The following is a 26,794-nucleotide window of genomic DNA, read 5'->3' as shown; positions in this document are numbered from 1 at the left end:
TTAGGGAAAATTTCGAATATATACAAAAGTAGAGAGAATACTGTAATGCACCCTCATATCCCCATTATACAGCCCCAACAATGAGCCACACTCATAGCCAATTTGTTTCATCTGTGTCCCCATCCACTCTCCACTTCCGGCCCAGACTTGGTTATTTTTAAAGAATTCCATGTATCATATTCGTTTGTAAATATTCAGTATGTATTATTAACAATAAGGACACTTTTAAAAAATAACCACAATGCTACTATCACACATTTTCTTTCTTTCTTTTCTTTTGAGACGGAGTCTCATTCTGTCTCACAGGCTGGAGTGCAGTGGCGTGATCTTGGCTCACTGCAACTTCTGCCTCCTGGGTTCAAGCGATTCTCCCGTCTCAGCCTCCTGAGTAGCTGGGATTACAGGTGCCCGCCACCCACCCCAGACTAAATTTTGTATTTTTAGTAGAGACAGGGTTTTGCCATATTGGCCAGGCTGGTCTCAAACTCCTGACTTCAGGTGATCTGCCCGCCTTGGCCTCCCAAAGTGCTGGGATGACAGGTGTGAACCACTGCACCTGACCTCTTTCTTTTTAAAAATAGAGATGGAGTCTCACTAGGTTGCCCTGGCTGGTCTCAAACTCCTGGGCTCAAGATATCATCTTGCCTCAGCCTCCCAAAGTGCTGGATTACAGTGTGAGCCACCGCACCTAGCCACACATTTTAAAATTTAACAATTCCTTAGATTTATCAAACATCCAGATCAATTTTCCTGATTCAAAAAATAGAATTTTAAGATGACAAATCAATGAGGAAGTCAACATTAAATTAAAAACCATTGCGGCCGGGCGCGGTGGTTCACGCCTGTAATCCCAACACTTTGGGAGGCCGAGGCAAGTGGATCACTTGAAGTCAGGAGTTCGAGACCAGCCTGGCCAACACGGTGAAACCCTATCTCTACTAAAAATACAAAAATTAGCCGGGTGTGGTGGCAGGTGCCTGTAATCCCAGCTACTCTGGAGGCTGAGGCAGGAGAATCGTTTGAGCCCGGGAGGTGGAGGTTGCAGTGAGCTGAGATTGCGCCACTGCACTCCAGCCTGGGCAATACAGTGAGACTGTTTAAAAAAAAAATTGCAAAAGATGAACTGCCAGCATGAGGAACTCTATAGCCCCACTTTCTAGTGAAAGTGGACTCCAGCCTGGTCAACGTGGTGAAACCCTGTCTCTACTAAAAATACAAAAATTAGCCAGGTGTGGTGGCAGGTGCCTAGACACTTCTAAGTAAACAGAAAGTAAGAGGATTTATTGCTAGCAGACACACATTACAAGAAATACTAAAGGAATCTTCAGGCTGAAACAAGATTCAAATACACATGAGACAAAAAAAAAAAAAAACAACTCTGGTAAAGGAAATTCTGTAATTATAAAAAGTATAATTTTATAATTATATATTATATAATTGTATTTACATACAGTCATCCCTTATTATCCATGGGGGATTGGTTCCAGGACTGCCCGTATAACCAAACCAAATCCACACATACTCAAGTCCCATAGTTAGCCCTGAAAAACCCATGAGAAGTAGGCCCTCTGTGTCTGCAAGACCCTGTCTCTGCAAAAATTAAAACAAAAATAAATTAGATGGGTATAGTGGCACATGCCTATAGACCTGGCTACTTGGGAGGCTAAGGCAGGAGGATCGCTTGAGCCCAGGAGTTTAAGACTGCAGGAGCCAGCTGGGCACGGTGGCTCACGCCTGTAATCCCAGCACTTTGGGAGGCTGAGGCGGGCAAATCATGAGGTCAGGAGATCAAGACCATCCTGGCTAACATGGTGAAATCCCATCTCTACTAAAAATACAAAAACTTAGCTGGGCATGGTAGCACACGCCTGTGGTCCTAGCTACTTGGGAGGCTGAGGCAGGAGAATCAAGGCAGCTTGAACTCAGGAGGTGGAGGTTGCAGTGAGCCAAGATCATGCCACTGCACTCCAGCTTGGACAACAGAGTGAGACTCCGTCTCAAAAAAAAAGAAAAAGACTGCAGGAGCCATGATTTCACCACTGTACTACAGTCTGAACAACAAGAGTGAGACTCTGACTCAAAAAAAAAAAAAAAAAAAAAACAGTAAGAAAGAAAAAAAAACAGTAAGAAAGAAAGAAAAAAGTAACGCAGGTCTCCAGGGATGCCTTTATACACAGCTGAACAGGTTTGCAGCTGATAGAGATCTGGGCCTCAGATGGAGACTAATTCAGGAGTCACAAACAGAAAGCTGGTTGTTGAAACCATGAGAACAAAGAGTTGCAGGCTGGAATTACTGGGAGCTAAGTGTCAAATTCAGAGAGACAGATGCAGCAGAATTAGAACTGGAAAATGTGGACTCCCTTTGGAAGGATGATGGTTGCTAGTGACTTCAGTGGGTACAATTTCAATGGCATCGTAGGTAAGGAAGTCAGATGCAAAAAGAAGCAGAGACAGAATAGACTCTCTACCAAGAACTTGGATGAAAGAAAAAGAGAGTAGCTATGAAGGGGGCCAGCTCCATGGCGTTTTTTGTTTGTTTTGCTTTGCTTTGCTTTTTAGGATGAGCTATTTGGGGCATGTTCATAGGCTGTGATAAGGACCTTGCAGAGGGGGCAGGGAGGGCTGCTGAAGCAAGAGCTGAAGAATGGGAGGTCACAGTGAAGAGGCTGGCTCTCCCTGGAAGGAGGAGAGTCTGGAGCAATAAGGTGAGGGTGCATGGGCAGGATCATGCTGTGAGCAGAGGGACCAACTGACCTTTTGTTCCAGGCTCTTTTCAAGAACGTTGGTATAGGCCAGGTGCAGTGGCTCACGCCTGTAATCCCAGCACTTTGGGAGGCCGAGGCGGGCGGATCACGAGGTCAGGAGATCGAGTTCATCCTGGGTAACATGGTGAAACCCCATCTCTACTAAAAATACAAAAAATTAGCCAGATGTGGTGGCGGGCGCCTGTAGTCCCAGCTACTTGGGAGGCTGAGGCAGGAGAATGGCGTGAACCCGGGAGGTGGAGCTTGCAGTGAGCCGAGATCGTGCCACTGCACCCCAGCCTGGCGACAGAGCGAGACTCTGTCTAAAAAAGAAAAAAAAAAAAAAAGATTGTTGGTACAGCAGACTGCCTTGGAAGATAAAGATAGTGCCTCCCTCTGGAGCAGAGGGCAGATTTCCTCACTATCCAACGTAATAAAGATAATGTCTCCCTCTTGGACAAGAGCAGGTTTGCTTGCAGCCCATTATAAAAGATTCTGGTTTCCTTATCTCAGGGATTCTCAGCTGTGCTGCAAACCCATTGTGTGTGCAACACTCACCTGGGCCTCTCTGTATCACTCTCATGGGGCTTGAGGAGTAAAGAGAAGTGACACAAACATGATGCCTATGTTGCTTGCTGCACCATGAGTAATAAAGTCCTTTGTCTCTGATCCAGTAGTCTTGTGTCTTCTACCAGCATCCACAGAACTATGGCAGTTTCATTGGTTAGCTTGTAAGGAGAGCAAAATCTGCACAGTTCTTAACAAAAGATGACTTTGAACTTGGGGGCATGGGAAGTTGAAGGTCACTCCTGATGGGCTGCATTTTCTCACAGGTATGGCTGGGAAAAGAGGAGGCTTGAGGAAAGAAGTAAGTTCTAGAATCATTGTTGAGCAGGATAGAAGCTGGAGCTGAGCAAGGATAAGGAAATGGCTGATGTTGAGAGCCAGCTGAGGCCAAACTTGTGTTCCCAATTCACACTCTGGAATGAGCTACACCTGACCCCTGACCCCTGCAGCACTCAGCCAGGCCAGGGACAGGCAGCACAGGAGAGGCAGAGGCAAGAGTGAATCCAGGTCAGAGTTTTGCTGGGAAGAAAGCCAGGAACACAAGAGAATCTGGGTTACTGATGCAGGAGTAGCTCAGATTATAACCCAGGGAGTCCTGCCTAGATAGGAAAGAAAGCTGCTGAGAGAGGGTTGGCCCACTGGGAGAAAAGGGAAGGATGGAGACCCTGGAGGTCCTGTGAGGCTGAAGATGGGAGGAAGGAGAACTCCAGGTGGGTGGATAGGAGATCTTGGTGTGAGGGGAGTACTGCCATTTAAGGCATTGGAGGTGGACCTGGATTATTAACACAGATAGGGGGTTAACTCCCACACAGGAGGAGAGCACCCTCTCCCCAGCTCTTAAGACTGGAGTCCTGAGGCCTGGCGCAGTGGCTCGCACATGTAATCCCAGCAGTTTGGGAGGCCAAGGTGGGCAGATCACCTGAGGTCAGGAGTTTGAGACCAGCCTGGCCAACGTGGTAAAGCCCCCATCCCTACTAAAAATACAAAAAAAAAAAGCTGGGCATGGGGGTGCACTCCTGTAATCCCAGCTACTGGGGAGGCTGAGGCAGGAGAATCGCTTGAACCTGGGAGGTGGAAGTTGCAGTGAGCCGAGATCACGCCTCTGCACTCCAGCCTGGGTAACAGGCTGTTTCAAAAAAAAAAAAAAAAAAAAAGACTAGAGTCCCGGCAGGGAGAGGCTGGGCTGTGTGTGGGGGCCAAGTTTGTAGGTTTGTAAGTGGAAGTTGAATAAATTACTAATGAATGATTCTCCTTTTCTCCATGAAGTAGAGGGTAAGGCACTTACTGAGAGCAAGGGCTAGGAGGGATATTTATGGGCACAGAGAGAAGGTCTGAGGAAATGTGAGAAGCCAGTGATCAGGGGATAAGTAACATCTACAGGAATTTTGACAAGTAAACCCATAAAGATTGAAATGAAAGTCGTGACACCATAAATTCCAAGTAGTGCCCATCTGCGGGGTAGCAAGATGAGTCTGGCTCTGCTGAGCAGTCTTGGGGTGAAGGAAAGAACTGGCCCAATGTGAGTGACCTCCAGTGACCCTGACTTGGTAGGAGTACTGAGACTGGATGGACTGAATGGCCATTCCTGACCACAGGCCCAGGCCCTGGGAGGTTTTCGGGAAGCCTTGCAATCAGACAGGTACCTGTTGCTGCACCCAGACTTCCTCGGATACATGAAGAACAGATTAGAGCCAAAGGCCCGTGACACGGTAGCCTAGGTCCCTCTCATCCTTGCAGCCTGCTGACAGTTGGGAGTCTGGGGCATGTCACAGCCTGCCGCATGTCACAGCTTGCCGAACAGTGGCCACTGAAGCACACCCATCTCATCCATCACTCACTGCCAGGGAGTGTTCCACTTAGAGAGCACGGGTGCTGAGCTTCCCAGCCCTTTCTGATGCTGGAGCCTGCTAGACCAGGGGTCCCCAATCCCAAGCCTGGTCCGAGACCTGTTAGGAACAGGGCATCGCAGCAGGAGGTGAGTGGAGGGGGAAGGAGCATTACCGCCTGAGCTCCGCCTCCTTCAGATCAGCCTCGGCATTAGAGTCTCAAAGGAGTGCGAACCCTTTTGTGAAATGCGCATGCCAGGGATCTAGGTTGCGGGCTCCTTATGAGAGCATCTTAACTCATGCCTGATGATCTGAGGTGGAACAGTTTCATCCCCAACCCCCCCACCCCCACCCCCCTCCGTGGAAAAATTGTCTTCCAGGAAACCAGTCCCTGGTGCCAATAAGTTTGGGAACCCGTTGTGCTGAACATTTCAGGTGGTCTCTCTGACTGGCCTCGTTCTGTGAAAGGAACTCAATGCGATTGAGGGGACTGGCCACCCTGGATGGTTACCAAATAAGCGCTGACAGCCTTAGCTCCCCCACGAAACCCATCACGGCAAGCTCCCCACCTCACCCCCTTTTCCCCCCTCTACCGCCAGCCCAGAGACTGAGCTGTCGGGTTTTGCTCCTCCACCCTGCCCGCCCCCTCCCAGCTGTCCTGGCGTCCGCAGACTGACAGATCTGAGGGTCCTTTGGAGGGAGCCGGGCACATCTCCTCCCGGCCGCCGCCCACCCGCCACAGAGTCTAGAGGCCGAGTGCCGGGCCCGCAGAGGGCAGAGCGCAGCCAGCGCAGCAGGTGGCGGCGTCTACCCGCGCCTAGCTAGCCCCGGACGGCGCGAGGAAAGCGCCCTGCCCAACCCGAGACTGGCGGCCTCCCGGGGCTGGGCTCTGGAGAGAGCGCAGTGGCAGGAGTGGCCGCTGCCGAAGTCCCCCGGGCAGGGGGCAGGGCCAAAGGAGCGCGCGCTCTGGGCGCCGGGACGACACTCCAGCCCCGGGGGACCCGCCGCCCAGCTCCCGAGGGTGCGGCAGCCTCTGGCCACTCAGCCGGGGCCGAGAGGGAGCTGCCGGGCGGGCAGGCGCCGCAGGCACCCGGCGGGCAGGGCGGGGCAGGGCAAGACGGCCGCCTCCGCAAGTGCCACCCGGCCCACCCGGTTCTCTCCCTTCTGCCTGGGACGTCAGCGGACGGGGCGCTCGCGGGCCGGGGCTGTATGGGGCTCCCGCGCGGGTCGTTCTTCTGGCTGCTGCTCCTGCTCACGGCTGCCTGCTCGGGGCTCCTCTTTGCCCTGTACTTCTCGGCGGTGCAGCGGTACCCGGGGCCAGCGGCCGGAGCCAGGTAGGGGCTGCCGAGCGCAGAGCGGGAGGGCGCAGGGGCGACCAGGGCGCGGGGAGGGTCCCCAGCCCAGGGCTCCCCGGCGGCCCGCAGCCCTCAGCCCAACCTCCGCGTGGACCCCTCTGGGGCAGCTCTCAGCGAGGACTCGGCCGCGGCCCTTTGTCGCCAGAACCCTCTCCCAGCCTTGACCTCGCGCTGCCCGGACCCCGCGGCCTTTGCCTGGGTCCAAGGAAGACCTCGCCCCTGTGCACTGGCGACCCGCCCCGGTGCCCCTTGTTGGTGAAGTCCTCCCCGGCCTGATAAGTACACTTTCTATTGTCGAAATCTGGCTGGGTCCCCGAAGCAGATAAAAACTTCCTTTTTTGTCGGGAACTCTCCCTCGGTAACGTCAGATTCTGCTTTTTGGGCAGGGGCCCAAGTCTCCGGTTTCCAACTTCGCGGGGACCCTCCGTCGGGCCGCGGCCAGTCGCCTTTCCCGCCCGCTGCGGTCTCTGTCCGCCCCGCGCCCGCTCCCTTCTCCCCGGCTTCCGCTCGCCGTGTCTGGATAAGCCCAGTGCGGGCGCGATCCGCGAAGAGGCGGGCGCCCGAGGGAAAGAGGGGTGACTCCTGGCTCCATCCGCGTTCTCCTCCCCGCGCCGCGTCCTGCGCTCCACTCCCTCCTCCTCCCTAGGCACTTTCCTGGGTGTCCCACGAGGAGAACCTGGGAGCCGGCCTCTAGCAGGTGGTGGTTCCGGTGACTGAAGAAGCCGCAAAACGATTTCGCTTAGCTTAAGAAAGGCGGACCAAGCCGTGCGAAGTCTGGGTTTGGGAGGAGGGAAGGGCCCGGCAGCCTCAGGGAGAGGCCTCCAGCCCCAGCCTTTCCCTTCCTGGAGCTTTTCCATCTGCGCACCCCCTACCAACCTTGCTGGGGGGCTAACGGGATGAAAACAAAATAAGTATCTGGTCTCCACAGATGCTGTCAAAGGATACACCAAAAGTTGCAGAACAATGTGAAACAGCTTGCCAGTGATCAGGAGTCCAGCACTCTTAGAACAAAGGGTGCTTGCCCCGCCACGGTGACTTAACGCCTGTAGTCCCAGCACTCTGGGAGGCGGAGGTGGGAGGATAGCTTGAGGCCAGGAATTCGAGGCTGTGAGCTGTGATTGCACTACTGCATTCCAGCCTGGTTGACAGAGAGAGACCCTGTCTCAAAAGAAAAGGAATCCTTGTCACTTTTATGTAAAGATGTTTAAAACACAAAGTATCTCAATGCAAAGAAATAATACATGTTTGATATAAGCCTGGGCAACATGGCGAAACCTCGTCTCTACCAAAAATACAAAACTTATCCGGGGATGGTGGTGCATGCCTGTGCTTCCATCTATCTATTCCGGGAGCTGACCAAGAAGATCCCTTGAGTCTGGGAGGTCGAGGCTGCAGTGAGCTGTGATCGCGCCACTGCACTCCAGCCTGGGCAATACAGCAAGGTCCTGTCTCCAGAAAAAAAAAAAAAAGTTCGAGGTGATGGATATGCTAATTAGCTGGTTTGATTATTACACATTACATACACGTATTGAAATATCACACTGTGGCCGGGCGCGGTGGCTCACGCCTGTAGTCTCAGCATTTTGGGAGGCCGAGGCAGGCGGATCACGAGGTCAGGAGATCCTCCTGACCTGGCTTTCACCTGGCTAACACGGTGAAACCCCGTCTCTACTAAAAAATACAAAAAATTAGCTGGGCGTGGTGGCGGGCACCTGTAGTCCCAGCTACTCGGGAGGCTGAGGCAGGAGAATGGCGTGAACCTGGGAGGTGGAGCTTGCAGTGAGCCAAGATCGCGCCACTGCACTCCAGCCTGGTGACAGAGCGAGACTCCATCTCAAAAAAAAAAAAAAGAAATATCACACTGTACCCTATACATATGTGCAAGTATGTGCCAATTAAAAATAATTTTACAAAAAGGAAGAGACCTGATCTAGCAACTCAGCCCCACTCTGCATGTGACGTCCTGCCCCACCAACACCAAGGCCCTCTGGCTGCCCTGGACCACTGCCTATGGGGTAGCCCTGCTCCACAAGGAGCAGAAAAGAAAAAAAAAAAAAAAAGGCCTTCACCAAATGTGGTTCCTCGACCTTGGACTTCCCAGCCTCCATAACTGTAAGAAATGAATTCCTTTTCTTATAAAAATAATCTTTTGGGGACAGTCTCACTCTGTCACCCAGGCTTGCAGTACAGTGGGTCTATCTTGGCTCACTGTAACCTCCACCTCCTGAGCTAAAATGATTCTCCCACCTCAGCCTCCCAAGTAATACATTATCTTCTTTTTTTTTTTGGGACAGAGTCTCCCTCTGTCGCCCAGGCTGGAGTGCAGTGGCCCCATCTCGGCTCACTGCAAGCTCTGTCTCCCGGGTTCATGCCATTCTCCTACCTCAGCCTCCCGAGTAGCTGGGTCTACAGGTGCCCGCCACCATGCCCAGCTGATTTTTTGTATGTTTTAGTACAGACAGGTTTTCACCGTGTTAGCCAGGATGGTCTCGATCTCCTGACCTCGTGATCCGTCCACCTGGGCCTCCCAAAGTGCTGGGATTATAGGCGTGAGCCACCGCGCCCAGCCCCGAGTAATACATTTTTTAAAAAACACAAATTAAAATTGTTTCAGGGTATCTAATAGACTTTAAGTATGAAGTTTACTATACTTCTATTATAATGCAACAATGCTTTTTTAAAAAAAAGATCTTTCCTCTTTTCAAAATGTAGTATGACTCAAGCACCTGGCCCTTTCCTGCTGTTTCTCTGTATTTGCACTGTAGCTTAAACCCCAATGCGGGGCAGGTCAGGACTCAGCCTTGCTGTGGGAGGTGGATATTTAGTCTGGGAGAGAGTGGGAGGTGGACGGCATTCTGGGCAGAGCCGGCAGGCCACATGAGCTTCCCCAGCTTGGGACTGCAAATGGACATGCCTGGCTACAGGGGACAGTCCAGGAAGATGGGCATCTGGGACAGGGTCTACAGAGCCCAAGGAGAGGGCTCTTTAGTGCAGATTAGAGTGGAGCCCAGTCTGGGCATTTCCTCATGGCAGAATCTGGATCAGTGGGTCCCCACATGGGCATTTCTATTAAAAGTTGTTGTTGTTGTTTAATAGGAGAGTGAGAATCAACATAGGGCTGCCAGTTACTATCCATTGTCAACGTTATGTTTTTAAAAAGAGAACATTTTAGGGCTAAGTATTAAGAATATGAAGGCCGGGCATGGTGGCTCGTGCCTATAATCCTAGCACTTTGGGAGGCTGAGGCAGGCAGATTGCTTGAGCCCAGGAGTTTGAAACATGGCAAAACCCCGTTTCTACTAAAAATACCAAAAAAAAAAAAAATAGCCAGGCATGGTGACACATGCCTGTAAGCCACAGCTACTTGGGGGACTGAGATGGGAGGATCGCTTGAGCCCAGGAGGTCAAGGCTGTAGTGAGCCAAGATCCTGCCACTGCACTCCAGCCTGAGTGACAAAGTGAGACCCTGTCTCAAAAAAAAAAAAAAAAAAAAAAAAAGGCTGGGCACGGTGGCTCACGCTTGTAACCCCAGTACTTTGGGAGGCCGAGGCGGGTGGATCACAAGGTCAAGAGATCAAGACCATCGTGGCCAACATGGTGAAACTCGTCTCTACTAAAAATACAAAACTTAGCTGGGCATGGTGGCATGCGCCTGTAGTCCCAGCTACTTGGGAAGCTGAGGCAGGAGAATCGCTTGAACCCAGGAGGTGGAGGTTGCAGTGAGCCAAGATGCACCACTGTACTACTCCAGCCTGGTGACAGAGCGAGACTCCATCTTAAAAAAAATAAAAATAAAAATAAAAAAGAGAATATGATCTAAGTTGTGAGTAAAATTAGCTTTCTGAAAAACGCAGCACATGGTCTGTATACCTCCTCAGGCTGGTAAAACCTCCCAGAAGGGCATGTGCAGGCTGGTCCCCTTCCTACGCCCTCCCAGGTGTCCCAGGCACTTGGATTCCTGAGAGGGAGGGGCTGGAAGGATCAGTAGGAGCGGGGCTGGGAGAAGTGGCTGAGCACCAGGGATACTCTAAAGTCACACCAGGCCTCCCTGAGGGTGGGTAGTTCAGGGCAGCAAAACTGAACTTGGGGGTTCCCCATCATCTCCTTTACAGCTCTACCCCTGTCCCCCACCCGTCTCAACTCTGCCCTGTCCCGCAGCTCCTCCGTCAGGCTCTCCAGCCTGGCTGCACAGCAGAATCACCTGGTTGGGGTGGGAGGGTAGGGACTGGACTCACCAATGCCCTCCCCCGACCCCAGAACAGTCAGATCAGAATCTCAGGATTTCGGGGCTGAGCAATGGGGTTTTTCAAGCCTCCCTGGGGGTTCTCATAGGCAACCTAGGCTGAGCACCACCGTCCTAGTTCCTTCCCAGAGGGGGTCATATTGTGCTCATGAGCAGGAACTACGGGATTATGTGGGCAGACAAGTGGACAGTCCAAGGGGCAAGGGAGGGATGGGGGAAGGGATCAACTCTGCTCTTTCTGGGCCGTCCCTCCAGGGTCTTATAGGAAACCTGGAAACCAAAGGGAGGCAGATCCTGGGTTCCCTTGTGGCTCAGGCATCTCAGCACCTAGAAGCAGGTAACAAGAGACCTTTGTTTCTCTTGCAAGCTGCCAACCCAGAGTCCCCTCCACCTGTGGCTGCTGGGGTGAAGGGAGGGGTCTGAGAGAAGCCTGGCCACCTTTTGAAAGGGTAAGGACCCCTATTCCTTCCTTCATGTTTTCCTTCTGCCCTGATTCAGGGGCCACCTAGCGCCTGGGAATTGGGCATTGGGAGGGGATAGTAACACTATCCCCTTACTGCCCTCTAGAAGGGACACTAATAATAGAGGCTGACACAGCAAGATCCTTTCTCTTCCTCCTTTAGGAGGTAAAAATAATATTTAGAGAACACATTTTTCTTTTATTTTCTTTTTGAGACAAACTTTCACTCTTTTTTTTTTTGAGATGGAGTCTCACTCTGTCACCCAGGCTGGAGTGCAGTGGTGCGATCTCCCCTTACTACGAGCTCCACCTCCCAGGTTCACGCCATTCTCCTGCCTCAGCCTCCCGAGTAGCCTGGGCCTCAGCCTCCTAAGTAGCTGAGACTACAGGCACCCGCCGCCACACCTGGCTAATTTTTTTGTATTTTTAGTAGAGATGGGGTTTTACCGTGTTAGCCAGGATGGTCTCGATCTCCTGAACTTGTGATCCACCCGCCTAGGCCTCCCAAAGTGCTGGGATTACAGACGTGAGCCACCGCACCCGGCCAGGAGTTTCACTCTTTCACCCAGGCTGGAATGCAGTGGTGTGATCTCAGCTCACCACAACCTCCACCTTCCGGTTTCAAGCGATTCTCCTGCCTCAGCTTCCCAAGTAGCTGGGATTACAGGCATGTGCCAACATGCCAGCTAATTTTTGTATTTTTAGTAGAGATGGGGTTTCACCATGTTGGCCAGGTTGGTCTCGAACTCCTGACCTCGTGATCCACCCACCTCGGTCTCCCAAAGTACTGGGATTACAGGCATGAGCCACCGTGCCTGGCCACCTAGAGGACACTTTTTATATGTGCTAACATACAGTCTCTGTTTGAACCCTCCTAACAATCAAAGGAGCTCAATATGATTATCCCTATTGTATAAATGCAGAGACTGAGGTTCTGAGAAGTTCAGCAACTGCCCAAGATCACACAGCAGCCAAGTGGTGGAGACAGGTTGCAAACCCAGGAAGTGAGGTTTCAGAGCTGTCTTAGTCTGTTTTGTGCTGCTATCACAGAACACCTGAGTTGGATCATTTACAAAAAACAGAGAGTTACCTCTTATGGTTCTGGAGGCTGGGAAGTCCCAGGTCATAGGGTCTGTGTCTGGAGAGGGCCTTCTTGCTGCATCCTCATAGATGGAAGGCAGAAAGACAAGAGAGCACGTATGCTCCAGAGAAGAGAGGCTGGATTCATCCTTGTATCAGGAACCCACTCCACAATAACTAACCCACTCTTGCAATAACCAAATTAATCCATTCATGAAGGCAGAGCCCAAGTGACCTAATCACCTCTTAAAGGTCTCATCTCTCAACACTGTTGCATTGGGGATTCAGTTTCCAACACATAAACTTTGGGGGACTCATTCAAACCATAGCAAGAGCCATAACCTTAACCAGGATTGTACTTCAGGAGTGGTGGGCGTGACCCACACAAAGGGGAAGGAAGGCCCAGTCATCTCAGACCTAATGCCTGCCTCTGGGGCCCTGTCAGGGAGATCCTTCAGATGGTCACAGTTCCAGGTGGCTGGCAATCTTTTCTATTTTCATATATTTTAAGCCACCATCTCACTGTTCCTATAAACTCCACATTTCTGCCACTTGCTGAGGGACGCCTTGATCTTTGAGTTTACACAGTGAGGCAAAACATAAGAAAGTGACAGTATCCTGTGTGCCTAAAGAGAAAGACATGGCAAGAATAAGAGCACAGAGCTGGGCGCAGTGGCTTACGCCTGTAATCCCAGCACTTTGGAAGGCCAAGGTGGGCAGATCACCTGAAGTCGGGAGTTCGAGACCAGCCTGACCAACATGGAAAAACCCCGTCTCTACTAAAAATACAAAATTAGCTGGGTGTGGTGGCGCATGCCTGTAATCCCAGCTACTCAGGAGGCTGAGGCAGGAGAATCACTTGAACCCAGGAGGCAGAGGTTGCAGTGAGCCGAGATTGCACCACTGTACTCCAGCAAAGCACTGGGATTACAGATGTGAGCCACCACGATGGGCACAGACAGACTTTGTCCGCCCCTAGAGCTAAGGGGGTCGGTCAGTCCAAAAGCTTCCAAGGGGTAGGTCAGAGCTGCTGACCCCTGCTTTTTTCTGCTTTTTCCCCCAGGGACACCACATCATTTGAAGCATTCTTTCAATCCAAGGCATCGAATTCTTGGACAGGAAAGGTAGAGTGGTCGACTACCCTGTGGCAGTTTTGAGCACCCTCAAATTAGTGGGGAGGAGGGAAGAAGAGCAAACGAGAACACTCTCATGAGATTGCTGGGCAGGAGCTCTTTGGAACGCCCTAAGTTACAGCTGAGCATCCGTCCCTTCAGGGCCTCTCAGACCTGACCAATAGGGTTTCTTGTGGCCCAACAGCAGAGAAGGATGAATAAATATGTACTCATGGGGTGTAGCCAGCTGAACAGTTCTTTGGAGTCTTAAGATTGTATCTTAAATAGTCCTGTGAATTTTATATTCTACTCCTCAAAATATCTACTTCCTATAAAAGTCACATTTAAACTGCTCACCCTGGAGCAAACTCCAAGCTCTGAAAAGATGCCCTTGCTTGCCCAGAAGGTTTGAGAAGCTTCAGGGCCCTGCCTTATAACCGTAAGTAACAGACAGCATTAATTTTGGGACTTTACCTGCGTTCTCTCACGGAAGCCTCGCAGCAACCCTAGAATGTGGCCCTTACAAATGAGCAAAATGAGGCACCAAGAAGTTAAGTACCCCGCTTAGGTAGTAAGAGGTAGTCCTGGAGTTTGAGCCTCTTGTCTGGAACCTGGCTCAGAACCATTGCGCGATACAACCTCCCCAACCTCATCCCACTCCACCCCACCCTGGCTCCATGTGCTGCCGATAAGCAGGATGATGACTGTGTTGTTCTGGATTAATACAGGCTTAAGAGGTGTTTTCCATGCCCAAGAGACTAAAATGGGACATGCTGACTGGGGCCTCTAGGAGAAAGATTTCACTGCATGCTAGAGCTTAGCGACAGCCAAGCTGTTCAGAGACACAGCAAGTAGCCCGGGCAGGTGATGGGGGCCCTGTCTTAGGAACAGAGGCCGCTGGACGTGGTGGCTCACACCTGTAATCCCAGCACTTTGGGGGGCCGAGGTGGGCAGATTGCCTGAGTTCAGGAGTTCGAGACCAGCCTGGGCAACACAGTGAAACCCCATCTCTACTAAAATACAAAAAATTAGGCAGGCATGGTGGCGGGCTCCTGTAATCCCAGCTACTTGGGAGACTGAGGCAGAATTGCTTGAACCCAGGAGACGGAGGTTGCAGTGAGCTGAGATCGTGCCACTGCACTCCACCGTGAGTGACAGAGCGAAACTCCGTCTCAAAAAAAAAAAAAAAAAAAATACAGAGGCCAATGGGCACTTGGCCGGCAGGCTGAAGAGAGGCCTTGAGCACCTTAGGAGTGCTTGGACCAGGTCATCTTCAAGCTTCCTAAACTCTTTTCCACCTTGAGCCTTGAGCTGTTCATTGCTAACTGACGTATGTCCCCACCTGGTCTAAACCAAAGGGTCTGAGGTGGCTTTTGGACACATATAAGAAGACAAAAACGGCCAGGCGCAGTGGCTCATGCCTGTAATCCCAGCACTTTTGGGAGGCCGAGGTGGGTGGATCACCTGAGATCAGGAGTTCAAGACCAGCCTGGTCAACATGGTGAAACCCTGTCTCTACAAAAAATACAAAAAATTAGCCAGGCATGGTGGCAGGCGCCTGTAATCCCAGCTACTTGGGAGGCTAAGGCAGGAGAATCACTTGAACCTGGGAGGTGGAGGTTGCAGTTAGCTGAGATCATGCCATTGTACTCCAGCCTGGGCAACAAGAGCGAAACTCCGTCTCAAAAAAAAAAAAAAAAAAAAGAAAAAAAAGAATTTGTTAATTTGTTCCAACAAGATTGACATATTAGGAAACAATCTGAGCATCACATACATTTTGCATTTTTTTTTTTTTTTGAGATGGAGTTTCGCTCTTGTTGCCCAGGCTGGAGTGCAATGGCGCCATCTTGGCTCACTGCAACCTCCGCCTCCCACGTTCAAGCAATTCTTGTGCCTCAGCCCCCCAAGTAGCTGGAATTACAGGGATGTGCCACCACACCAGGCTAATTTTGTATTTTTAGTACAGACAGGGTTTCACCACGTTGCTCAGGCTGGTCTCAAACCCCTGAACTTAGGTGATCCACCCACCTCTGCTTCCCAAAGTGCTGGGATTATAGGCATGAGCCACCGTGCCCGGCCTGGATTTTTTTTTGAGTGGTTTTGTCAGTGAAAACTCTAGGTTAACATAGAAACCACACCCAACTCAGCAGAGCCATGTAGGAATACACAAAAAGTACACACATGCACACCTGAAATCTCCATCAGCTTCACCGAGTGTGTTATGGGTTCACCTGCCCTAGTGAGTCTGGTGGCACAATTCCCTCCGATTTCAGACAACTTCTTTCCACCATTTCACAATATCACACAAACTGCCCCCTTCCGACACCCACTTCCACACCCACTTCCACATCAATCTCAAGTATTCTTTAACCACGGGACATCAGTAAAACTGTGCTTCTGTCTTTCTTCGATTTGTATCTTTGGTTTTACGCATTCCTGACAGCGTTTCAGTGTTATGTCACTCATCCCATGTTCTCATAGGCCCGTGGTTTTTCGTTTTGCTATTGTTGTTTTGTTTTGTTTTTGAGATGGGGTCTCACTCTGTTGCCCAGGCTGCAGTGCAGTCTCAGTAGCTCACTGCAGCCTCAATCTCCCAGGTTCAAGCAATCCTCCCACCTCAGCTTCCCAAGTAGCTGGGACCATAGGTCTGGGCCACCATGCCTGGCTAATGAAAAAACATTTTTTTGCAGACATGGGGTCTTGTTATGTTGACCAAGCTAATCTGGAAACTCCTGGCCTCAAGTTATCCTCCCGCCTTGACCTCCCAAAGCGCTGGCATTAGAGGGGTGAGCCCCCATGCCCAGCTACCCCATGATCATGATTGCATAGCTTTGCATAGCATGGTGATATTTAGCCACTCATAAGTTGCATTATAGCAGAAATTACTGTACAGCTATTTCCTGCTTTGTCTTTTGATCAAACGAATGGCTTAACAAAGAGCCCCATTCAGGAGTAATAGAAGGCCCACCCAGGCCATGACTGTGTGTGATTCTGAACTTGTGGGGTCACGGGCAGACAAGGCTGGGGCCTGTTTCCTGACCTCACCCTCCCTCAAGGCCCACAAGTACAGAGGTGCTGTGTTCCTTCCCCGTGGCTGCTGGAACAAATGATCACAGCCTGGGGGGCTTCGATCCACAGAAATTGAATCGTCACAGTTCTGGAGCCCAGAAGCCCAGAATCAAGGTGCTGGCAGGGCCACGCTCCCTCCGAAGGCTCGAAGAAAGCCTCCCCTGCCTTTTCCCAGCTCTGGCGGCTCCACTGCTCTTTGGCTTATGGTGCATCGCACAGATCCCTGCTTCATCATCACCCGGCCTCTTTCCACGGATGCTAGTTAGGGCCTGACCTCACCCTATATGACCTCCTCCTAACTAATTCCATCTCCAAAGACCCTAGTTCCAACTAAGGTCACATTCCAAGGCTCTGGGTAATGAATTTTGGGGGGACACTTCCACTCCCTAAAGGCACCACTGGAAAGAAAGACTATCACGGATCTTCCTGGCAGCCTGTTCACACACAAATTATACAGCGAGTACCAGTAGGGTTAGGGTTTTGCATCCAGGGTGACAGCCTCAGCTCAGCCCAGGCTGAAACTACTCCACCAAAGGGCAGGCAGGTCAGACCCATACATCAGAAAATGCCCCAGAGTTTGCTCAAGCGTGAGATGAAGGAGTGTGAGGCCAGAACCACCAGGCCAAGGGGACATGGCCTCTGGGAGAGGAAGAGCTAGGCAGGCTAAATCCAGAAAGTTCCCAGACCCCCTAGCTGCCAGCTCAGTTCAAAAATGCAAGGATGGGCCAGGCGCGGTGGCTCACGCCTGTAATCCCAGCACTTTGGGAGGCCGAGGCGGGTGGATCACGAGGTCAGGAGATCAAGACCACCCTGGCTAACATGGTGAAACCCCGTCTCTACTAAAAATACAAAAAATTAGCCGGGCGTGGTGGCGGGCGCCTGTAGACCCAGCTACTCGGCAGGCTGAGGCAGGAGAATGGCGTGAACCCGGGAGACGGAGCTTGCAGTGAGCCGAGATGGGGCCACTGCACTCCAGCCTGGGCGACAGAGCGAGACTCTGTCTCAAAAAAAGAAAAAAAAAAATGCAAGGATGGCCCCAATCTGGAGGGGACAGGGCAGGCCTTCCCTCACAACTCGCAACTCCCCTGCAGGGTCTGCAGGGCCCCACCCACCCCAGCCCCTACCTAACGGGGCTCAGCCCTCACCTTCTCACCCACAGGGCCAGGCCTGCCGACACCTGCTTCACCTGGCCATTCAGCGGCACCCCCACTTCCGTGGCCTGTTCAATCTCTCCATTCCAGTGCTGCTGTGGGGGGACCTCTTCACCCCAGCGCTCTGGGACCGCCTGAGCCAACACAAAGCCCCGTATGGCTGGCGGGGGCTCTCTCACCAAGGTAACCCGCGCCCGCTGTCTCTCACCTGCCTTCTGCCTTAGCTTCCTGCTCTTTGCCCTGAAGTAGGCCAGGCCTCTCTGCCCTCATAGCACTGGTGATGCCAGGTCTCCCTGTCCCCCTCTCTCCTCCCAGAAGCCCCAGCTATGCAACTCCTGCCTCACCTCCCTCCTCCGTCCAAGCACCCAGGGGTCAGTGAGAGTCATGGGGCTGCCCCCGCCAGTGGGCCTCACCATCCTGGGGCCTCCCTGGCAAGAAAGGCTGCAGCGTCCAATGGTGGCCAAGGACAGAGGCTGTGGGGCCTCAAACCACCTCACTCACGGTTGCTGCTGCAGGAACCCCCACACTGCAGGCCCAGAGCCCCCTCTACATTATACCTGCACCCAAACCCCCACAGGCCTCCGATTCTTTTCTTTTGCAATATACAGTCTTTTTTATTTTTGAGATGGAGTCTCGCTCTGTCACTCAGGCTGGAGTGCAATGGCACAATCTCAGCTCACTACAACCTCCGCCTCCCGGGTTCAAGTGATTCTTGTGCCTCAGCCTCCCAAGTAGCTGGGATTAGGCACGCACCACCACGCCTGGCTAATTTTTGTATTTTTAATAGAGACATGGTTTCACCATGTTGCCCAGGCTGGTCTCGAACTCCTGGCCTCAAGTGATTCACCCACCTCACCCTTCCAAAGTTCTGGTATTACAGGTGTGAGCCACCGTGCCCAGCCCAGTCTTTTTTAAGCCCTGAGCTCACTTCTCTAGCACCAGTCTTAAGAAGATAAGGTATTCAAGTTCTTAAGACAAGTGAAGGCCGCCAAGCCCCCTCTTCCACTGTCAGCTTTTCAATTCTCCCCCCACAGACATCTCCTTCCCCTCCCACCCTCTGTGCTTCTTGGGAGGGGCTAGGGTCAGGCCTCAGGGGAGATGGGGCACCAGAACCAGCCTAGGGAAGGCCCCAGGTGCCCCCGATGCCAGCCCTCCTCATGGCTGCTCCCCATCTGCACCCACAGTCATCGCCTCCACCCTGAGCCTTCTGAACGGCTCAGAGAGTGCCAAGCTGTTTGCCCCGCCCAGGGACACCCCTCCAAAGTGTATCCGGTGTGCCGTGGTGGGCAACGGAGGCATTCTGAATGGGTCCCGCCAGGGTCCCAACATCGATGCCCATGACTATGTATTCAGGTATGAGGGGTAGGAGCTGGGGAGGGGCGGGAGGGAGAGTTGCCTGGAGGGTGGGGGTGTCTCCCCCAGGGGCAGTGGGCTATGGCAGCAGTGGCCTGGGCGGCTCAGCAGTTGTGACCAGCACACGGGCATGGACAAGGCAAAAACAAACAGTAGGCCCTGAGGACGGAGCATGGGTGCCCATGCAGGGGACCCAGGAGGAAGCAGCCGCCAGGGCCAGCTCTACCCACTCACAGGGCGTCACCCCTTGAGGTCTGGAGGAGTGGGGGTCTGGTTGACAACTGGGCACTGGTACTGCCATGGGCAGAAGGAGTGGTCATACAGAGGCAGGGGGATAGGCCAGGCAGAGCCGTGGAGATGGAAGCAGAACAGACGGCCTGGTGTAACCGCAGACACTGATGGGCCTCTGTGCCAACCAGACTCAATGGAGCTGTGATCAAAGGCTTCGAGCGCGATGTGGGCACCAAGACTTCCTTCTATGGTTTCACTGTGAACACGATGAAGAACTCCCTCGTCTCCTACTGGAATCTGGGCTTCACCTCCGTGCCACAAGGACAGGTGAGGCCTCTGGCGGGCATGCCATTGTGGTTGACAATGGCACCATTGTTCCTGGAGTCCCCTCAGTGGGGGCCACAGGGCTCACACACCCTGGTCCAGTGGATGCTGAGGGGGTGCCAGGATTCTGGATGCAAGATACAGCCACTGAAGGTGAGGGGGGATCTGGTCCCGGACTCCCTGCTGATTCAGGCGTCACGGGACTCCTCTGCAGTATGGGATGTGAATGGCCAGCATTTACCCAACGCTTGTGACTTGCCAGGCACTTTACAGAGACCGTGCAACCCATGGTTTTACTGGTGTGGGGATAAAAGCCTGGTGCCTTTCATTCAGTGAGTCAGCGGTAGGGTCAGGATTTGCACCCAGAGTACCCCCCACCTCGAGAGCTGGCATTCTTTGGGGAGCTCAGACTCCCAGGAGAAGGGGATTTATGGAGTTCCTCCTCCCAGCATGTTACAGGGCACACACACGGTCACCACAGCAGCCCTGAGTGGGACCCGTGTACCCATTTCCAGATGACAAAGCAGGGACGCTGAGAGGTTCAGGAACATGTCCAGGGTCACCCAGCTGGAACCATCTAGATCTAGGACCCTCTGACCCCAGCGCTGGGGTTGTTTCCATTTCCCCACACTGGCCCCTGGAAGAATGATGTGTGGCCTCTTGAAATCTCACAATAGCCCTGTGTGGGAAATTGAGGGTCAGAGACACTGAGGGACGTGTCCCAGGTGGCAGCCACTGCATGCGAGCTAGCATCTGGCCCTACCTGCTGGCCTCCAGGTTCCTCCACCCACACCCAAAGGCCGTTAACTCAAAGCTTCCCTCCTCAGGGGCTGTGGGTGCCACAGCCACAGGGTTAGGGGATCTCAGGAAAAGGGGATCTGCAGTGCCGGAGGAAGCTGAGTTGGGTTTCTAGAAGCTTCCTCCCCTGACCAGGGGCTTAAGGAGTGTCCTACCATAGTGTCTATGCCACACTGAGTCCTCACACTAGAACCTCTCTTCTGTGAAGTGGAACAAAATAGAGCAGCTTTAGACTTTTGTTTTGTTTTGAGACGGAGTCTCACTCTGTCACCCAGGCTGGAGTGCAATGGTGCAATCTCAGCTCACTGCAATGTCTGCCTCCTGGGTTCAAGCGATTCTCCTGCCTCAGCCTCTCAAGAAGCTGGGATTACAGGCACGCACCACCACGCCTGGCTAATTTTTGTATTTTTAGTGGAGATGGGGTTTCACCATGTTGGCCAGGCTGGTCTTGAACTCCTGACCTCAAATGATCCGTCTGCCTCGGCCACCCAAAGTGTTGGGATTATAGGCGTAAGCCACCGCGCCTGGCCTTAGTTTCAGTGTAGCCACAGTACATGTACGAGTTATCTATTACTGTGTAACAAATGACCTCAAAACTTGGTGGCTTTAAACAACAAATATTGACTATCTTGTGGTTTCAATGGGTCAGGAATTTGTGGGGAGCTTAGTGGGAGGTTTTGGCCCAGGTGCAGATGATGGGCTGCATCATCTGAGAGACCCAAAAGCTTGACTGGAGCTGACATCAAGATGGCGTCTCACGGGCCCTTGCCACTTGGGCCCTCTGTAGGCTATTTGAGTGTCCTCACGACATGGCAGCTAACTTCATCCAGAGTGAGTGATCTGAGAACGTAAAGGAAGCCACAGTGCCTTTTATGACCTAGTCTCTAAGCCACACACCATCACTTTCCTCTTTATCAGAAAAATCCTGTGCATGAGTCGCTAAGTCCAGCCCATACTCCAGGGGATGGCAATTGGGTGCCACCTCCTGAAGGAGCATTAGAGGATTTGTGGACCTACACTGAAACCAGTACAGCACCTCTGGGTGGGAATGAAAGGTATTTAAGGGAAATTCTCCAGTCGGCTCAGGGGGCAAGGTTGGGTGGAGGGCTGTCCACACTGAGGAGCTAAACATGTCCTGGTTCCCCTCTGGGCTCATTGTCTCTATTCTGACAGGACCTGCAGTATATCTTCATCCCCTCAGACATCCGCGACTATGTGATGCTGAGATCGGCCATTCTGGGCGTGCCTGTCCCTGAGGGCCTAGATAAAGGGGACAGGTGAGCAGCCAGGCCGTGGTGGTGTGGGGCGTGGCAGAGGGGCAAGGGACACTGTGGTTATCTCCTTTTTGCTCCCAGGGCCCATCATGGGGTAAGAGGAGGTGGGTGAAGGGCAGTAAGAACAGCCCTAAGAATTCAATCATCCCCAATTATTCACATAACAGCACTGGGAAATTCTACTTTTTGTCTACCCCTGGAAAGCCCAGGTGACCCTCCGGGTTCCCAGTAGCCCTCTGGGGGCAGTGGGCTGGGGGTGGGAGAGGCAGCTCTTCTGAATGGGGTGAGCAGGTCTGGCTTCTCGGCTTTGGGCTGCACTCTCCCTGCCCAGCCCAGCCGCCAGCGGCTCCGGGTCACAGACTGGGCTGGGTCCGCTGTCCCACTGAGCACACTGTGCTGGAAACAAGAGTTGGGGCCAGTCTGGGCCACTCCTCCTGCTGGGCATCCTTCCCAGGGTCATGCCCATGAAACGGGAGAGCAGACTCGAGGCCCAGTGTCCTGAGAGGCGGAAACAATGGGCCCTTTGTCTTCTTTCCCACCTTCCTGCACAGCAGGCCTGGGTCCAGCTCTCTTGAGCCACGACCTGACCCTCATCTGAACCTCCTCCCGGGGGTTCTGAGACAATTTCTTGTCCCTGAGATCAGGTCCCTAAAAATCGACGCCACTGCTGTGGCCCAGACAACCAGCCCTCCTATCTCGGCGTCTCGCTGAGGACATCTTCCCCACCCCCCACAGAGCAGCTTTACAGGTGGTCCTTATGGGTTAAGGGTTCTAAAGCCAGGCCCACCCCACCCCCGCTTGGTGATTACCCAACAATTGCTTCCACTGCTGGTCTGAGCTGGGCTTTGTGACACGCTGGGCTTGGGCCCTTAGGGGCTGCCTCAGAGACATCGGGTGGACCTAAGCCTCCCCAACACCAATGAGCTCCCCTTCCCACACCCCTAATCCATCCCCTACCCAGTCTCCCTCCCAGTCCCGTTCCAACAACATTGTCACCCCTCCAGGCCAGCAGCCTGCCCCTTCCCCCTCCCCCACTCGGGGCTCTTCCTCCCGGCCCCCCTCCCACCCTCCCACCCCAAATGCCTCACAGCCCTCTTCCCGGACTTCGTCCCTGAACCCCAGTCCTCAGGTCCAACACGTGCCCCGCGGGGCTGCCCAAACCCCCACCCCACCCACCTCCAAATCTCCCTCCCAGTCTGGTTTCAAATCCCTCTCTCGAAACCCTTCCCTAACCCCCGCTGTGCCCCCCAAGTCCTCCTTCTACAGCCCTGCCACCTCATCTTCCTATATCGGGCCAATTCAGAACATCCCGTCCTATATCACCCCCTATGTGCCCCGCTTTCTGAAGGAGCCCCCCTTTTTCCAGCCCCCCACAGCACCACTTCCCCAAAACCCATGCTTTGCCTGTCCCTCTCCCTGCCCTGCCCGGAAGCCCCCACCCCCTCCTGACTCACTCTACTTACCTCTCCTTCCCCCGCCCCCCCACCACCCCCAGTTTAACTGCCCCTTCCCAACTCCCCCCGGTCTGTTCATGCCCCCCTCCTCTCTCTCCTACACCCCGCCCGTGGAGGTCCTGGTGAGCGGGAAGCCGCACGTGGTCCCCAACGTACTGCCTGCCACCTTCTACACCCCCTTCTCCCGCTACTACTCCCAGCCCCGCTCCTACCGCTCAGGGTACCGCGGCTACTCCGGCGCCCTGACCCTCCCCTCCATCTCCCCCTTGCAATACGACGGCTCTGGGCGCTCTGTCCACTTCTATCATGGGTCCTAGGCCGCACGCCTATTTTGGACCAGAAGCCTCTGCCAGTAAATTCAAGCTGCTACATCCGGACTTCATCAGCTACCTGACAGAAAGGTACGGAGTGGGGTGCCTGAAGAACAGCGTCCCCTTCCTTCCCCCTTTTACACACCCACCCACATCCAGTCAGCGCCCTCGCACGAGCCCCACGCACTGACCGATAACCAGAGCTCCACTGTCCCGAGTGCTGTGTGCAAAGCACTGTCACTTCATTTACTGTTTTATTTAGCACCTTGATAGAGGGAGGGTGATATATGTCAGTCACCAGGAAATGGACAGGAAACTCAGGATAACTCAAGGAGGTTTATACAAAGGCACAGACTGGGAGCTGGGACCATAAGGTGCACAGCAGCAGTGGCGCCGTCAGCAGCAGGGCATCAGAACCTTCAGGCCCAAACACAGCCAACACAAGGTGCCGGAAGGAACCCGGGGACCAGCCTCAACCCCCTTCCCTCCCTCCTGCCAGGGGTTCTCAATGTGGATGTGCATATGGTCCTCGTCTGGGGTTGTCACAAGGGTGGTGGCGGCAAGTGCCATCAGTGGGTAGAGGCCAGGGATGCTGCTGAACATCACAAGAAGCACCTGGCCCCAAGTGTCAACAGCACTGAGACTGAGAAACCCTGCTGTGGACCAGAGGCTCGAATCCCAGGGCAGGGAGCAGTTGGAGAGGGGTGTGTGGATGTGGGGAGGCAAATGAAGCCCCTCTAATTAGTCCCGTGCTACAGAGGAAGACAGGCTCTGAGAGGTCAGGTGATCGGCCTGGCACAGCTCGATGTGAACTCAGGCCTGAGGGCAGAGCCCGTGGTCACACCCTGGCCTCACTCTTGGACTGTGTGGGTCCGGTCACAGGGTCTGAGCTCCCTGTCCCTCACACGTGATTCCTACTTAATCAAGATGTGGAGTAGAGAGAAACTGCAGTCTCAGGCTAAATAAACAGGCCACCTATGCCCTTGGCAGTGTGGTTACTTAGTAGCTTGGGGTGAAAACAAGCTGTTGCCAAAAGGGGGAACCTGTGGTTCCTTTCTCACCACCCCCTCCCCCAACCTTACCTAAGGTCTCAAAGATCTTTGTATTTAGTCCACTTGGACCGAATAAAGAACTGACTGGAGTAGAAGGCCCTCAGTTTTTGAAGTTTTCCCACCTATTTGAATGTGTAGTTGTGAAGTGTGATGATAGCCATCAAGCTAGTGAGCTGAAATGTCTCTTTTTGCTTCCAGGTTCTTGAAATCAAAGTTGATTAACACACATTTTGGAGACCTATATATGCCTAGTACCGGGGCTCTCATGCTGCTGACAGCTTTGCATACCTGTGACCAGGTAAGAGGCCTTCTCTTCCAGAAGCCCATGCCGGCAGAACACAGGATAACAGAACCCAACAGGATCCCCTGATATCCCTTACCTCGGAGCTGGGACTCTTGGCCTCTGTTCGTGGAATCCCCAGTTCCAAGAGTGCTGCTGGTACTGCTCACTTCCTTGCCCACAACCCTGGGGCCTTTGAAGGACAGGTCCTGGGCCAGCCTTGCCTTGGCTCCGGACACCTGCCTCAGGCTTGCCTTGGCTCCTGACACCTGCCCCAGGCTTCCTTCTTTCACTCTTCTCCAAGGCAGCCACTCAGTATGGTATTTAAGGCTCAAATCATCAAACTGCCCTTGTGAAAGCCAAAGTCCTCAACATACTGGGCCAAATAGGGACATTCTTTTATGGGGACATCCTAGAGCTGGGGTAGGGCAGCAGGTTTAGCCTCCCACATGCAACTACTTTGAAATCACCGTTAAGAGTCATTCCTGATGGGATATGACCCACGTGAAGCTCATGGAGGCAGGGGCCAAGCAGCAGCTTTCAAGGAGAGGCCGTGACCCATGCTAAAGCTGGTATGGAGAGCTGGGGGCCAAATGCCTCTCCACGACTCACACCTAAATCTTTTCCCTCTTTTTTGAGACAGGGTCTCAACTCTGTCACCCAGGCTTAAGTGCAGTGGTGTGATGATCCTCCTGCCTCAGCTTCCCAAGTAGCTGGGTAGCTGGGATCACAGGCATGTACTGCCACGCCCAGCTCTTTTTTTTTTTTTTTACTTTTTGTAGAGACAGGGTCTTACCATGTTGCCCAGGCTGGTCTCAAACTTCCAAGCTCAAGTGATCCTCCCACCTCAGCTTCCCAGTGTTGGGATTACAGGCGTGAGCCACCACACAGGGCCTTTTCCTATTCTGATGCAGGAGTGTCTTGACTGCAGTCCCCAGTTAGGATGGAGAGAGTAGTAATGGGCTTTTGCCTCCACCCTTGAGTTCCAAATCCAGCTCTGGCAATCACCAGCTATGCCAAGTGGGGACACAGTGAGTCACCCCTGAATCCATCTCCCCACTTGCTAAGTGGGAATAAGCCCTAGACCATTATCCTCACCTCAGCAGACGGACACCTTTCTAAACTCATGTCACTTCACCCAAGTGTCTGTACACACTAGACGCTCAACAAATACTAATCCAGCGACTATCCTTGCCCAGGTCAGTGCCTATGGATTCATCACAAGCAACTACTGGAAATTTTCCGACCACTATTTCGAACGAAAAATGAAGCCATTGATATTTTATGCAAACCACGATCTGTCCCTGGAAGCTGCCCTGTGGAGGGACCTGCACAAGGCCGGCATCCTTCAGCTGTACCAGCGCTGACCCCAATGCACTGAGCCCTTTGCTTCTTCAAGAGTTGCGGCCCTGATCCTCTCAAGTGGCCAAAAGCTTTTTTAACTTTTCAATCTTCACCTTCCCTTGCCAACAGAGGGCACTGGGGTGAATTCAAGATTTTCATCGAGGTCTGTTCAATATAGGACACCCCAGCTTGTCCTTGGCTCATCCAAGAACTCTTCTGTATCTAAAACAATACATCTCAATCTTGGCCAAGGGAAAATGGACTGCTTTGCTGGATTGGCACTGAGCAACTTTAGGAAATGTCGGTGGAGTGTTCAGCAAGATCAGACAGCAGTCCAGGTCAAAGGCAAACACACACGCTCCAGCCCAAATCCTCCTGGTGGCACATCCTACCCCAGATGCTAAAGTGATTCAAGGACTCCAGGACACCTCTTAAGAGCCTTTCTAAGAACATGATAGGCTTACTTCTGCTCCATAATAAAGTGGGAGAAAAAAGCCAGAATATAACTTAAGACTAGATAACTGCGTACATGATGGACCATTTTTTTTTTTTTGGCTGGGTAGAGAAATCATATAAAACGCAGGCTGTTTAGCATGGAGATGACTCTCAGAACACTGGGAGGGTCTGGCACTTGATGGGGGTTAGTTGCTTGGCAGCCTGCCTGCCACTGAGGGAAGTCCCATTAGAGATGTATCACCACCTTGTCACCAACAGGATGATGTCACCAGGTAATAAACCTTCATCCTCATATCATGGCGTCAGTAAA

General features: G+C 52.8%; 2 protein-coding genes across 2 annotated transcripts, besides 8 other annotated features; both read left to right on the top strand.

Annotated features, from left to right (window-relative positions):
• Positions 4,628 to 5,308: an enhancer, noted in NCBI's record as "H3K4me1 hESC enhancer chr17:74582929-74583609 (GRCh37/hg19 assembly coordinates)". NCBI's record gives its function as "activates a minimal SCP1, AML or CMV promoter by ChIP-STARR-seq in naive H9 embryonic stem cells {active_cell/tissue: H9 hESC(naive)}" and the evidence as "EXISTENCE:reporter gene assay evidence [ECO:0000049][PMID:30033119]".
• Positions 5,309 to 5,990: an enhancer, noted in NCBI's record as "H3K4me1 hESC enhancer chr17:74582247-74582928 (GRCh37/hg19 assembly coordinates)". NCBI's record gives its function as "activates a minimal SCP1, AML or CMV promoter by ChIP-STARR-seq in naive H9 embryonic stem cells {active_cell/tissue: H9 hESC(naive)}" and the evidence as "EXISTENCE:reporter gene assay evidence [ECO:0000049][PMID:30033119]".
• Positions 5,309 to 6,148: a biological region, named in NCBI's record as "H3K4me1 hESC enhancer GRCh37_chr17:74582247-74582928".
• Positions 5,859 to 6,148: a silencer, noted in NCBI's record as "silent region_9023". NCBI's record gives its function as "represses an Ori minimal core promoter by ATAC-STARR-seq in GM12878 lymphoblastoid cells {active_cell/tissue: GM12878}" and the evidence as "EXISTENCE:reporter gene assay evidence [ECO:0000049][PMID:35858748]".
• Positions 6,199 to 6,538: a silencer, noted in NCBI's record as "silent region_9022". NCBI's record gives its function as "represses an Ori minimal core promoter by ATAC-STARR-seq in GM12878 lymphoblastoid cells {active_cell/tissue: GM12878}" and the evidence as "EXISTENCE:reporter gene assay evidence [ECO:0000049][PMID:35858748]".
• ST6GALNAC2 (ST6 N-acetylgalactosaminide alpha-2,6-sialyltransferase 2) lies at positions 6,295 to 26,778 on the top strand. Its single transcript, NM_006456.3, has 9 exons — positions 6,295 to 6,471; positions 13,339 to 13,399; positions 17,616 to 17,790; positions 18,792 to 18,960; positions 19,380 to 19,518; positions 21,487 to 21,590; positions 23,359 to 23,442; positions 24,603 to 24,702; positions 25,884 to 26,778. Exons 1-9 carry the CDS (start codon positions 6,347 to 6,349, stop codon positions 26,049 to 26,051), a joined length of 1,125 nt encoding a protein of 374 aa, NP_006447.2. The 5' UTR covers positions 6,295 to 6,346; the 3' UTR covers positions 26,052 to 26,778.
• Positions 22,137 to 22,638: an enhancer, noted in NCBI's record as "H3K4me1 hESC enhancer chr17:74565599-74566100 (GRCh37/hg19 assembly coordinates)". NCBI's record gives its function as "activates a minimal SCP1, AML or CMV promoter by ChIP-STARR-seq in naive H9 embryonic stem cells {active_cell/tissue: H9 hESC(naive)}" and the evidence as "EXISTENCE:reporter gene assay evidence [ECO:0000049][PMID:30033119]".
• Positions 22,507 to 23,358, top strand: LOC122455342 (testis-specific serine/proline-rich protein). The gene has a single exon (NM_001395979.2). The coding sequence runs from the start codon at positions 22,507 to 22,509 to the stop codon at positions 23,356 to 23,358; it is 852 nt and encodes a 283-aa protein (NP_001382908.1).
• Positions 24,396 to 24,896: an enhancer, noted in NCBI's record as "H3K27ac hESC enhancer chr17:74563341-74563841 (GRCh37/hg19 assembly coordinates)". NCBI's record gives its function as "activates a minimal SCP1, AML or CMV promoter by ChIP-STARR-seq in naive H9 embryonic stem cells {active_cell/tissue: H9 hESC(naive)}" and the evidence as "EXISTENCE:reporter gene assay evidence [ECO:0000049][PMID:30033119]".
• Positions 24,897 to 25,397: an enhancer, noted in NCBI's record as "H3K27ac hESC enhancer chr17:74562840-74563340 (GRCh37/hg19 assembly coordinates)". NCBI's record gives its function as "activates a minimal SCP1, AML or CMV promoter by ChIP-STARR-seq in naive H9 embryonic stem cells {active_cell/tissue: H9 hESC(naive)}" and the evidence as "EXISTENCE:reporter gene assay evidence [ECO:0000049][PMID:30033119]".
• Positions 26,779 to 26,794: the final 16 nt, after the last annotated feature.

Source organism: Homo sapiens, chromosome 17, assembly GCF_000001405.40.
Source record: "Homo sapiens chromosome 17, GRCh38.p14 Primary Assembly".
Classification (NCBI taxonomy): domain Eukaryota; kingdom Metazoa; phylum Chordata; class Mammalia; order Primates; family Hominidae; genus Homo; species Homo sapiens.
This window is presented reverse-complemented; position numbering and strand designations above follow the sequence as displayed.